The following is an 11547-nucleotide window of genomic DNA, read 5'->3' as shown; positions in this document are numbered from 1 at the left end:
ACTCTAACTAGTACATTCAATCAACTTAAGATAATAGCAAGACGAAGTTTAAAGTTAGATTAATTCAAGTTGTTAAGCAGCTTAAATAGCAAGCTCACCATTTATTTTAGTTTACTTTTTATCTGACTTCATTTTTAGTTTGAGCTGTTTTATGAAATATTTTTTAGTAAATGGCTGATCTCACTGGTATTCTGCTGTAGTAAAAACTGAGTAAGATAGTAATACTGATTGTTTGAAGAGGGAGGAAGCTGTTGTTTCTTGTTCAACATTTTATGAAATGGATTGCAAATCCAGGCAGTAATCTCAAACACTGGAATCCCCTATACATTAAGAATCCTGGCAGTCTAAAGATTGTAAGCAAAAAGGCAATAAATACGTCAAAAGAAACTTTATAAATGGGTTTTTGCAAGCCAAGAAAACTGCCAAATAACTTGTAGGCTATAGATGTACTAATGCATTTGTCTTTCTGACCTTCCGATCTTGATTCGTTTTTTGATGCCATCGGCATCTCTAAGGTTACAATTTGGTGGAGATTCTGGATTGCAGTTGTGCTGTCAAAGGGTCATTCTTCCTGGTAATGAGGTAACTAGTAGTCCCTGGGAGAAAGGAGAAAACAATCAGGTCTTGAAAGCTGAAACATACTGAAGTGGAGAGTAGGTTCTTGGCAGAGGCCCAGCTCCTCTTTCTCAGAGCGTTTGTCATCATTGCAACAAAGAAGAAAATGGTGGGGTCTGCATAGACAGCTATAAAGTGGGGACCTAAATAACAAAGAAACACAGGCACCCAAATCCCATGAACTGGAATGTATTTGGAGGCTGTTTTTGAGAGCACTTTGTTTTTTCATTTACCATATTGTTGAGTCACATGTTAAGGATGTGGGTCGCATTAAAAAGAAGCATGATGCTTATTTTGAAGCAAATTATTATCAAAAGAGTATGCTTCAAAACATTTCTTAATTTCAACTTGAAGCGAAGTCATTTGACTTCGGAACATATGCCTTTGCTAAATTGTTGCCAAAAAAAGACAACTTAATTTTTGCATTCATTGCTTGCAAAACTGTTGATTCAAGATGTAATGGAAAGGTAATTCACTCATTATCGCTAGTGAGATTCACTTCATAAAGCCAAAGGTAAACTTGAATACTTGTCACATTTAGTCCAAATGAAGATTGTGACTAGCCTGTGAATCATATTTGTAATTTAAACCTAAATAAAAATAGTAACAATGACAAATAATTACAAAATACAGAATATATGTTAATATGTATAGTGCTATACATATTAGATCCTATAAGATATCTGAAAAATAATATTTGAGTAGAACATATGTCTAGTCATGTGCAACTCAATTTCATGGACCTTACAGGCACTAAATTCTCATCTACATATATTCTCTAAACTAGACTTTGGGCTTTATGACACAGTTTCTGCATTAAATTTTTTCCTGTCTTGAAGGTAAAGTTTGGATTATTTTTACAACATTTTATTTTATTATTTTCCTTAATGGCTAATATATTGACATGGTAAGAAACTCAAACAATACAAAAAGATATACAATGAAGATAAGCCTTCCATTCCCAGCCCCCAGTGGATTTCCTCTCCCTGACAGTTATTGTTAGCATTTTCAGCACACCATTCTAAGTGTATTATCTGAATATTTGAGTGTCTATTTCTATATATACACCATTCTTTTTCTTTTTTCTTTTCTTTTTTTCTTTCTTTTTTTTTTTTTTTGAGATAGGCTCTCGCTCTGTTCCCCAGGATGGAGTGCAGTGATCACTCCTCACTCCTCTGGAGTAGCTGGGATGACAGGCCACCACATCCAGCTAATTTTTTAATTTTTTTTTTTTGTAGAGACAGGGTGTCCCTGTGTTGTCCAGGCTGGTCTCAGTCCTCCACCTTGGCCCCCCAAAATGCTAGGATTACCAGCATGAGCCACCACACTTGGTCATTCTTTTTCGTATTAACATAGTAGCATAACTGGGTCATAATAGGAAGCAGAAAGAACATTCAAACTTGGAAAATTGGAGAACAGTTTACAAATAAAGAAATTATCAGCGAACATATGAATATAGGGGAACCACAAGGAGATAGTTTAGTAACCCAAGGTAGTATCAGTGGAGCTGTCACATCTATAGGCTCAAAGAAATGAGGAATGTGATGGCTATTGTTACCTGAACTTGGAAGGAAGAAGTCATGTAGGAGAAGAGTAGTGATACAGTTAGCCTAAGGCCAAAAGGGAATGAATGCTGTGACCTCATGCTCCTCTCCTCTGGTGTCATGCAGGGGTTCCCAGTGGCCAAATCCAACCAGCAGCCATGGGATCTAGAAGCCCAGTGGTATAGTCCATATAGGTTGGTCTCCACCAGCAAAGAACAGAGCAGAGAAACGGTAAGCAACTGGAAGACATCTGCTATACACGCTTCTGCTCCATGCTTTTTGCAGTTAAGGATATATGTTGGAGATCCTTCCATCCATCAACATCTATAGATTTCTATCCATTCTTTTGAAAGAGGTAATCTATTTCATTGTGCATAAAACATAATTTATTTAATTGGTCTTCTATTGCTAAACATTTAGATTGATATTTTGTGTTTTATGAACACAAACACTATAATAAATATGCTCGTATATATGTCTTCATGCATATGTGTTCTATATCTTTGATATAAATTCCTAAAATGGAATTCCTTCTTATTAATTTAGGTCAAAATGGAATTTTAGTGCTTATTTATCTCAACAGGAAAAAATGAAATTACTTTTACATTTGGGCATAAAGTTTTCAAAAACTGGTTGTAAGTGCTATTGCCCCAAATCCAAATTGTTTATTGCTTGAATATCTAAATTCTTTTTGATTTTTAGAATGGTATAAAATTGTAGAAGTTACAAAAATAACATGTACTCAGGAGCTAGTGAGCCTGTGCTGGAATCCTGGCACTGATGCATGACTGTGGGCAAATTTTATAACTTCTTTTTTTTTTTTTTTCGCCCTTGTCGCCCAGGCTGGAGTGCAGTGGCACAATCTTGGCTCACTACAACCTCTGCCTCCCGGGTTCAAGTGATTCTCCTGCCTCAGCCTCCCAAGTAGCTGGGATTACAGGTGCATGCCACCATGCCCAGCTAATTTTTGTATTTTTAGTAGAGATGGGGTTTCACCATGTTGGCCAGGCTGGTCTTGAACTCCTGACCTCAGGTGATCCAGCCTTGGCCTCCCAAAGTGCTGGGATTACAGGGATGATCCACTGCACCCGGCCTTATAACTTCTTTATGTTTCACTTTCCTTATCTGTAAAGCAGGTATACCAGGAATAACAGTAGCTACCTCGAAGGGCTTTGGAGGGGCTCAAATGAATTGATGTATGTAGATTGCTGAGACTAGTACCTAGCACTATGTAAAAGTTTTGTTGTTGTTATTGTGCAATAATGATCCTTTAACAGCTGCTTCTTCTTGCCACCACTTTTATAAAGACTTCTATTTGTCCCTTGTATACATCTTGCAAATATCTACTTTTCAGATCTTCTCACTTTTCTCTATGCAACTACTTACTTTACTTCTTTCAATATTTTTTCACTTATTTCTCCAAGGAACCTCTTCAAACTTGCCCTAACCTACCATGATATACCAATAGTATATCAGAGCTTTTTTATATGTTGTTTTTATTGATATATGTTTATTCATATATATGATGCTATAATATATATACATACACAAAACATGAGACCCACTACTCTGGTTAGTGGCTTTGGGTTTATTCTGGATCACACCAATGGCTAACTCAGTTGATCTCTGCAGTAGTAACAAATAATGCTTATTTAAACAGCATGCCTTCCAAAGGCCTTAGGTTTTGTTTGTTTGTTCATTTGTTTTGTTTTTACTAACATATTTGAGACTTACAGCATCTGCTAATTTATCTAATCTTCTCTTCAATTATTGTACTTTCAGCCTTCACCATAACTTCACGTAATGATTATATAAAATTACCCTTTCCTCTTATTTATCTCCAAACTAAGTTTTCCAAACTTTAAGGGGTACCTCCTAGTTCTGGAATTACAATTTTCATTAAAAAGTTGTTTCCTCTACCAAGACTGCATGATTTTGCAAACTAATATCATTTACTCTCTCCAAACAATCATTTTTAGATTTATCCTAATAATGGGAAAGAACAAAATTCAAATGGGCAGAGAAAATACAGTTTCCTTATTTTTGCTCTTGTCATGCTAACTTGAAGTCCATTCTGGTTTCTCTCTTAATCTGAGCCAATAGGGGTCATTAGATAGTCCTTAATATCCAGAGAAAAAATGCTTATCTCTCAGAAATTTTGGTCTCCCACCCTTCTGACCATCTCCTCTCCAACATGACATCTCAAGAAACTTTTGAATTCTTGTAGGAGGCGTAGAGGATAAGGCTTTTTATTTCATTGTCACTTGTCCATCTAGGCTGCCACTCACTGTGTTGGCTTTCGGTGGCCAAAGTCTACAGCTGGTATAATACATACGGTGGGTTCTCTCTGATTTATTGGCGCCCAGTGGTGCATTCTGACCTGCATGTCCTTTCTCAGCCCTTGCTGACTCCTCAGGCACTGCCACTGCCCGAGGCTCTGTCCAGTCAGCCTCTAGGCCAGATGGTCTGCCTTTGCCATGGAGTCACACCATCCTGTTCGGAATGGACCTTGGAACGTCCACTGTATTCATGCCACTTAGGAACTTAGAGGGACTCGGAAGAGCGAAATAAACCATCTGGTGGCCAGCTACACATTCTGGCTTGTTAAGTATCTCATGTTGGCATAGGACCATTCTCCTTCTGGTATTTTCTTCAATGTATCTGTATATATACCAGAAGACAACTTTCTCTGAAGGGTCACCTCCAAGTTGGGGATGAAGTATGGAGAAAGGGACCATTGAGGTACTTTCCTTCCCCTTCTCCACTCTTTCCATCTTCCTAATTTCTTCCATAATACCCTGGGTCTAAAAGGAGTAGATTGCTCCCTTTCACTGTGTCGTATCTTTCTTCTACCTAAGCCTTACAGGGAGAAGAAATATTCTCTGGGAGAAAAAGGGAAAATAACTTGAGCAGGTGCTCTAGGCTTGGTTCTTGAAAAAAATAAGAGAAAAAAGAATAATCTAGACATTCCTCTCTCAAGAAAATGGCTTTTTATGACCATTATAAGACTATTTTATGGAAATTTTCAAATTGATATTTCATTGATACAAAACTACATTTAAAATGTCAGGATCTGTACATTTTGTATCCTTTTGTAATTATCCTAATTCTCTTTTACAACCACCTGACCTCTTGACTTCTTCCTTACTAGGGGTTTCCTTGGGTCAATCAGAAAGGAGGTCATGAACTTAGAAAAGTAAAAGAAAAAAGCAGACTATTTCAGAATATTACCTCCAATACACTTACCTAATTAATTAATCTATTTGATAATACCTACATTCCTTATAGCAAATTAGGTAGAGCCTACTCTTAGATCTTCACATATTATCATTCTGTGACACCCCCACTGAATCTTTCTCAAGCTTCAACATATCTATCTTACCAAGGCACAACGATGGCACTGCAAGAAAGTGTTCCTGGTTCAGATGAATTATGACATCATGCTGTGGTTCAGAGAAAGGATAATGTCTTACTTTTTCCTGATAATACTTATTATTGTGCAGATCTCATTTTCTGTGATTCCCTATTACTGATAACTGATGCTGAGCATATGAGAGCTCAAAGCTCATTAAGGTACTTATCAGTGGGAATTCCACTGACTGCAACAGGTGGCTGTGGTGAGATGTTGGGAAAGAGGAAAGATAGAGGCAGGCATTAGTTTCCTCATTTACTCTGAACCTGTCATCAAATTATATTAGGTTAAGAAGCTAGAAAATGGTTAGCAACAGTTGATGAAATCAGCTTTGCCTTGTATTGACTCTAATTGAAACAAGTTGTAGAACCAACATTATGACAGGAATGTCAGAAATATAAAGAGGAAAAAAATACTATGTCTTCATGTTACCAAGTGAACTTTTTTTATTTTTTATTTTCCCATTCCTATTCATATTTATTATATCATTTGTAATAGATAAAATCTTACTGACAGTAACACTTTCAACATGAATTGGATTTCTCATAATATATTTATGCTCCAATTAAAGACAATTTGACCTTGTAAGATTAAAAAAACTTTTTGCCCTGAGAAGGTCGAGGATACAGTGGGCTGTGATTGCAACACTGCAATCCAGTCTGGGCAGCAGAGCGAGACCCTGTCTTAAAAAAAAAAAGGTTGGGAAAACCTTTAAGACTAACACATCAGGACTCTGACTAGTGTTTAAAAAAATTATGCTTTTTTCTTATGAAGAACTTATCACTGTAATTGGTCTTACTGTTAAAATAGCCTAATTAGTTGATGGGGACGATACTAATTTACCATGACAAATATATTAATTTCCTGATGTTGCTTTTTAAATAAACAGAATCAAATTATTTTTTATCTTAAAAATACCCATGAGATTATTTTTTGTGATGGTATATAAATGTCTTTAAGCTTTTGTCATTTAGTTATCACATCATTTCTAGTCTTTCCCAACAGCCTTCAAAGATAATTATCATTCTTGAAGATTTTACCGGGTATATTTGGCCCTTTGCTCTTTGAATTTTTGGCTTATTTGCGAACTAGTTGACATTTTTCTGATATTTAGTCTGCTTATCTATGAACATAATATATTTTTAAATTTATTTAGGTCTTCCTCCTACATGTCCTCAATAATAAATTATAATTTTCTCCATAGGAGTTTGCATGTTTGAATAATTTACAGTTTCTTTATATTTCTGTTGCTATAAAATTTGTAATGTTTTTAAATTTTAAATGAACATTGTTGGAGTATAATTTTTATACAATAAAATTTTAAGTGTACATTTTGATGAGTTTTGACAAAGGTATATACCAATATAATCACCACTTTAATCAAGACATACAGAACAATTCTTTCATGCTTATTTGTAGGCAGTCCCAACCTCCACCCCAGCCACAGAAAAACACTGGTCTTCTTTTTGCCATTTTGGATTTGTTTTGTCTCCTCTGTAATTTCATATAAGTGGAATCATACAGTGTTTATTCTCTTGTTTCTGGCTTCTTTGCTTAGCAAAATATTTTTTAGATTTACCCATTGTCAATGAATGAGTTCATTCTTTCTTATTTCTGAGTACTATTCACTACTGAATAGTATCCAAAATACTATTTGTTTATCCATTTAATTGTTGATGCAAATTTGATTGTTTTTAGTTTAGGGCTATTAAGAATAAAGCTTCTGGCCAGGTGCGGTGGCACACACATTTAAATCCCAGTATTTAGGAGGCCAAGGCAGGCAGATCACTTGAGTCTAGGAGTTTGAGACTAGCCTGGGAAACATGGCAAGACTCCTATCTCTACAAAAAAAATGCAAAAATTAGCCGGACGTTGTGGTGCACACCTGTAGTCCCAACTACTCAGGATGCGGAGGCAGGAAGTTCTTTTGAGTCTGGGATGTGGACATTGCAGTGAACCGAGAATGTGACACTGCACTCCAGCCTGAGTGGCAGAATGAGACCCTGTCTTAAAAACAAAAAAAGGAAAAACGAAAGAAAGGAAGGGAAGGGAAGGGAAGGGGAGGGGAGGGGAGGGGAGGGGAGGGGAGGGGAGGGGAGGGGAGGGGAGGGGAGAGGGGAGGGGGAGGGAAGGGGGGGACGGGAGGGAAGGTAAGGGAAGGGAGGAAGATGGAAGGAAGGAAGGAAAGAAAAGAAAAAAAGAAAAGAAGGAAGGAAGGAAGGGAAAAGAAAAAGAATAAAGCTTCTATGAACATTTGTGTACAAGAGTTTTTGTGGACATCTGGCCCTAATTTTAAGTCCAGAGTAGTATCATAAAAACAATCATTAATGTAGGACAGGTCTCAGTTTATCATCATAATATGCCTTGGTGTAATTTTTTTTTCATTCCACTTTGGATTTATTGGGCTTTTTTTTATCTGAAAGTTTACAATTTTCATCAAATTTGGAAAATGTTCATGAGTTTTTTTTTTCTGCTTTCCCACTTTCTCCTCTTTGGGATCTCCAATTAATCATATGTTAGAACACTTAAAATTGTCTCACAAGTTATTGAAGTTCTGTTTAAATTTTTCAACTTTTTTTACTCTGTGCTTTAGTTTCGATAATTTCTTTTCTACCTTTTCAAGCTTACCGATGTTTTTTTCTAGAGTGTATAATCAGTTATTAAGTTCATCTAGTGAATTTCTCATTTCAGAAATTGCATTTTTCAGCCCTAGAAATTTCTACTTTAAAAATCTTTCATTGTCTCATTATGTTCATGTTTTCCTTTAAATCCTTGTACATACGTATAAAGCTGTTTTTAAGATCTTGTTTGCTAATGCCATCATCTCTGTCATTGCTGAGTTGTTTTTTATTGAATTGATATTCTCTTGGCTTTGTGCCATGTTTTTCTGTTTATTTTTGTGTCTAGTTTTTTTTTTTATTGGTTGCTAGATATTGTGAGTGTTATACCATTGAACATCTGAATTTTTATGTTTTTCTTTAAAGAATAGTGTGCTTATTTTTGCAGGTCATTAGTTACTTGTAGACCAGCTTGATCCTCTTGAGTCTTGGTTTTTAGCTTTGTTAGGGTAGGTCTAGAGCATCCCTTAATCTGACGCTAACTTAGCCCTACTGCTAAGGAATGATCTTTCTGCAGACTCTACTGAATGACCTAGGTGTTCAAAAAGTCCTCTCCACTGTGACTAGCCAGAACTCTGTGGTCTCCCAGCCTTTTGGGGGCTCTGTGAATTGTTCAGCTTACAACTTCCTTGTAGTTGCTCTTTGCCTAGCCTCATGAATTATCATCCTATATAGATAAACAAAATGGTATATAGCGAAAAACTCAAGAAGACTTTTATGCAGATTTCTGGAACTTTATTTTGTTAATATGGTGAAATATATTAATTTTCAAAAGTTAAATCATCCTTACACTTCTGGGGATAGACTCAAGTTGTTTATAGTGTCTTTTTTCCTCCACTGCATTTAATATGCTAAAATTTTATTTAGACATTTTCCATCTATGTTAATCAATAAAACAGGCCCATAATTTCCCTTCTCATACTCTTCTAATCTAGTTTAGGTACTAAAATGATATTAGACCCATAAAATACACTGAAGAACTACTGTTTTGCATAATAATTGAAGTGTATTTTTCTTTGGTAGAATTTTGCCTGAACCTGTTTTTCTGCATAAGCAAATTTTAAATAGCTGGTTCAATTTCTTTAATTTTCAAATTTATGACTTCTTCATATTCTTTTAAATAAAGGCATAACATATGTAAGGAAAGAGCATCAAGCTTAAGTGTACAACCCGATACATTTTTACATATATTATACGTTACGATAATACATTATATAGACAAATACATAGATACAGAGAGCCATCTACCAAACAGATAAAGACTTAGAACATTTCTACTACTCAGAAGGTTCCTTAGCATAATATCCTGAAGGTTTATCCATGGTGTCACATGTTGCAGAATTTACTTCTTTTTAAAGGCAGGATAATATTCCATTACATGCATATACCACATTTTCTTTATCCATTTATCTGCTGATGGACATTTAGGTTGTTTATGTATCTTAGTGATTATGAATAATGCTTCAATGAACAAGGGAGTGCAGATATCTCTTTGAGATCCTCATTTCAATTCTTTTGGATATATACCCAGAAATGAGATTGTTTGATCATATGGAAGATATATTTTTAATCTTTTGAGGAAATTCCATACTGTTTTCCTTAGCAGCTGTGCCATTTTGCATTCCCACATTATGCTAAGTGAAATAAGCCAGTCACAGAAGGATACATGCTGCGTGAGTCCAGTTACATGAGGTACCTAAAATAGTAAAATTTATAGAATCGAAGAGTAGAATGGTGGTTGCCAGGGTGTAGGGCAGAGGAGAAGGTGGTGGAGTTGCTAATCCATGGGCTGAGAGTTCCAGTTAAGCAAGATGAGTACGTTCTAGAGATCTGCTGTAAAACATTGTATCTATAGTTAACAAAAATAATACTGTATTGCACTCTTGAAAATTTTAGAGGAAAGATCTCATGTTAAGTGTTCATACCACAGAAAATGTGGCATTATTTTTAAGGTTTTTTTTTTTTTTTTTTGCACCTTTCTCAATTAGTACCTTACCTCCTACTATGCTGAATTCTATCACTGTAGATAGTTTTGTCTCTTCCTAAAATTCTTATAAATGGAATCAAATAGTGTGTGTGTAAAGCGTTTAGCTTCTTTTGCTCAACATAACATTTGTGAGATTCAGCAGTGTTGTTCTGTGTACCAGTAAGTCATTCTTTTTTATTGCCCTATAATATTCCATTATTTAAATATAACAAAATTCATCCATTCTCCTGTTAATGGACATTCGAATTGTTTCCTGTTTGGAGCTGTTATAAATAAAGCTGTCACAAACATTCTTATACAAGCTTTATAGTGAAAATATGCACTCATTTCTCTTAGGTAAATACTTAAGAGTGGAATTGTTGGGCTAAATGATAGGCATGTATGTAGCTTTAATAATACACTGGTCCCCCTTTATCCATAGAGAACATGTTCCAAGACCCCCAATAGATACCTGGAACCTCAGATAGTACTGAACTCTATATACGCTATGTTTCTTCCCATACAGTCCTATGAAAAAGTTTAATTTATAAATTAGGCATAGTAAGATATTAACAACAATACCTAATAGTAGAACAATTATAACAATATACTGTAATAAAAGTTATGTAAATATGGCCTCTCTCTGTCTCTGTCAAAATATCTTAACATTTTCAAACTGTGGCTGACTATAGATAGCTGAAACTGTGGAAAACAAAACCATGGGTAGGGAACTATGGTCTTGCCAAACAGTTTTCCAAAATCATTGTATCAATTACACTCATGCCAGCAATACATGAGGGGAAGAATTCTTCCACAACCTTGCCCACCCTTGTAATGTCACTCTTTTTAATGTTAGTCATTCTTGGGGGTATGTACTAGTATTAAGATATTACTTTGGTTTTAATTTGCATTTCCCTGATTTGGAATGATGTTGTGTACCTTTCTGTACTCTTAGTATTTATTTGAATATTCATTTTTTTGAAGTGTTTCTTCATGTATAGGATTTTGTTATTGTTATCAAGTTCAAACTAATAATCAGAGAACGTGGGTCTTTTTTGTTTTTGTTTTTGAGTTTTTTGATGCTTATATTTTGATATGTATAGAAGTTTGCTTTGTGACACTTTTTTTGGTTACAATTGTGTGTTTGTAAAGCATATACTCTAATTATTGGGTTGTTCACATCTTCTACATTTTACCTAATTTTTATTTTCCTGAATTACTGAGAAAAGTGTGTTAAAATCTTCTATCATGTTTATGGCTTTTTCAATTTCTTTTTGTAATTCTGTCAATTTTTTACTTTATATACTTTGAAGCTATTTATTAAATACATACGTGTTTTAAATAGTTATAACTTCCTGGTGAATTTTTTTTTCTTTTTTAACAAGAAGGGAA

The sequence above is a fragment of the Homo sapiens genome, chromosome 15 (genome assembly GCF_000001405.40).
Source record: "Homo sapiens chromosome 15, GRCh38.p14 Primary Assembly".
Classification (NCBI taxonomy): Eukaryota; Metazoa; Chordata; class Mammalia; order Primates; family Hominidae; genus Homo; species Homo sapiens.
The sequence above is the reverse complement of the archived record's forward strand: the minus strand, read 5'-3'. Positions refer to the sequence as shown.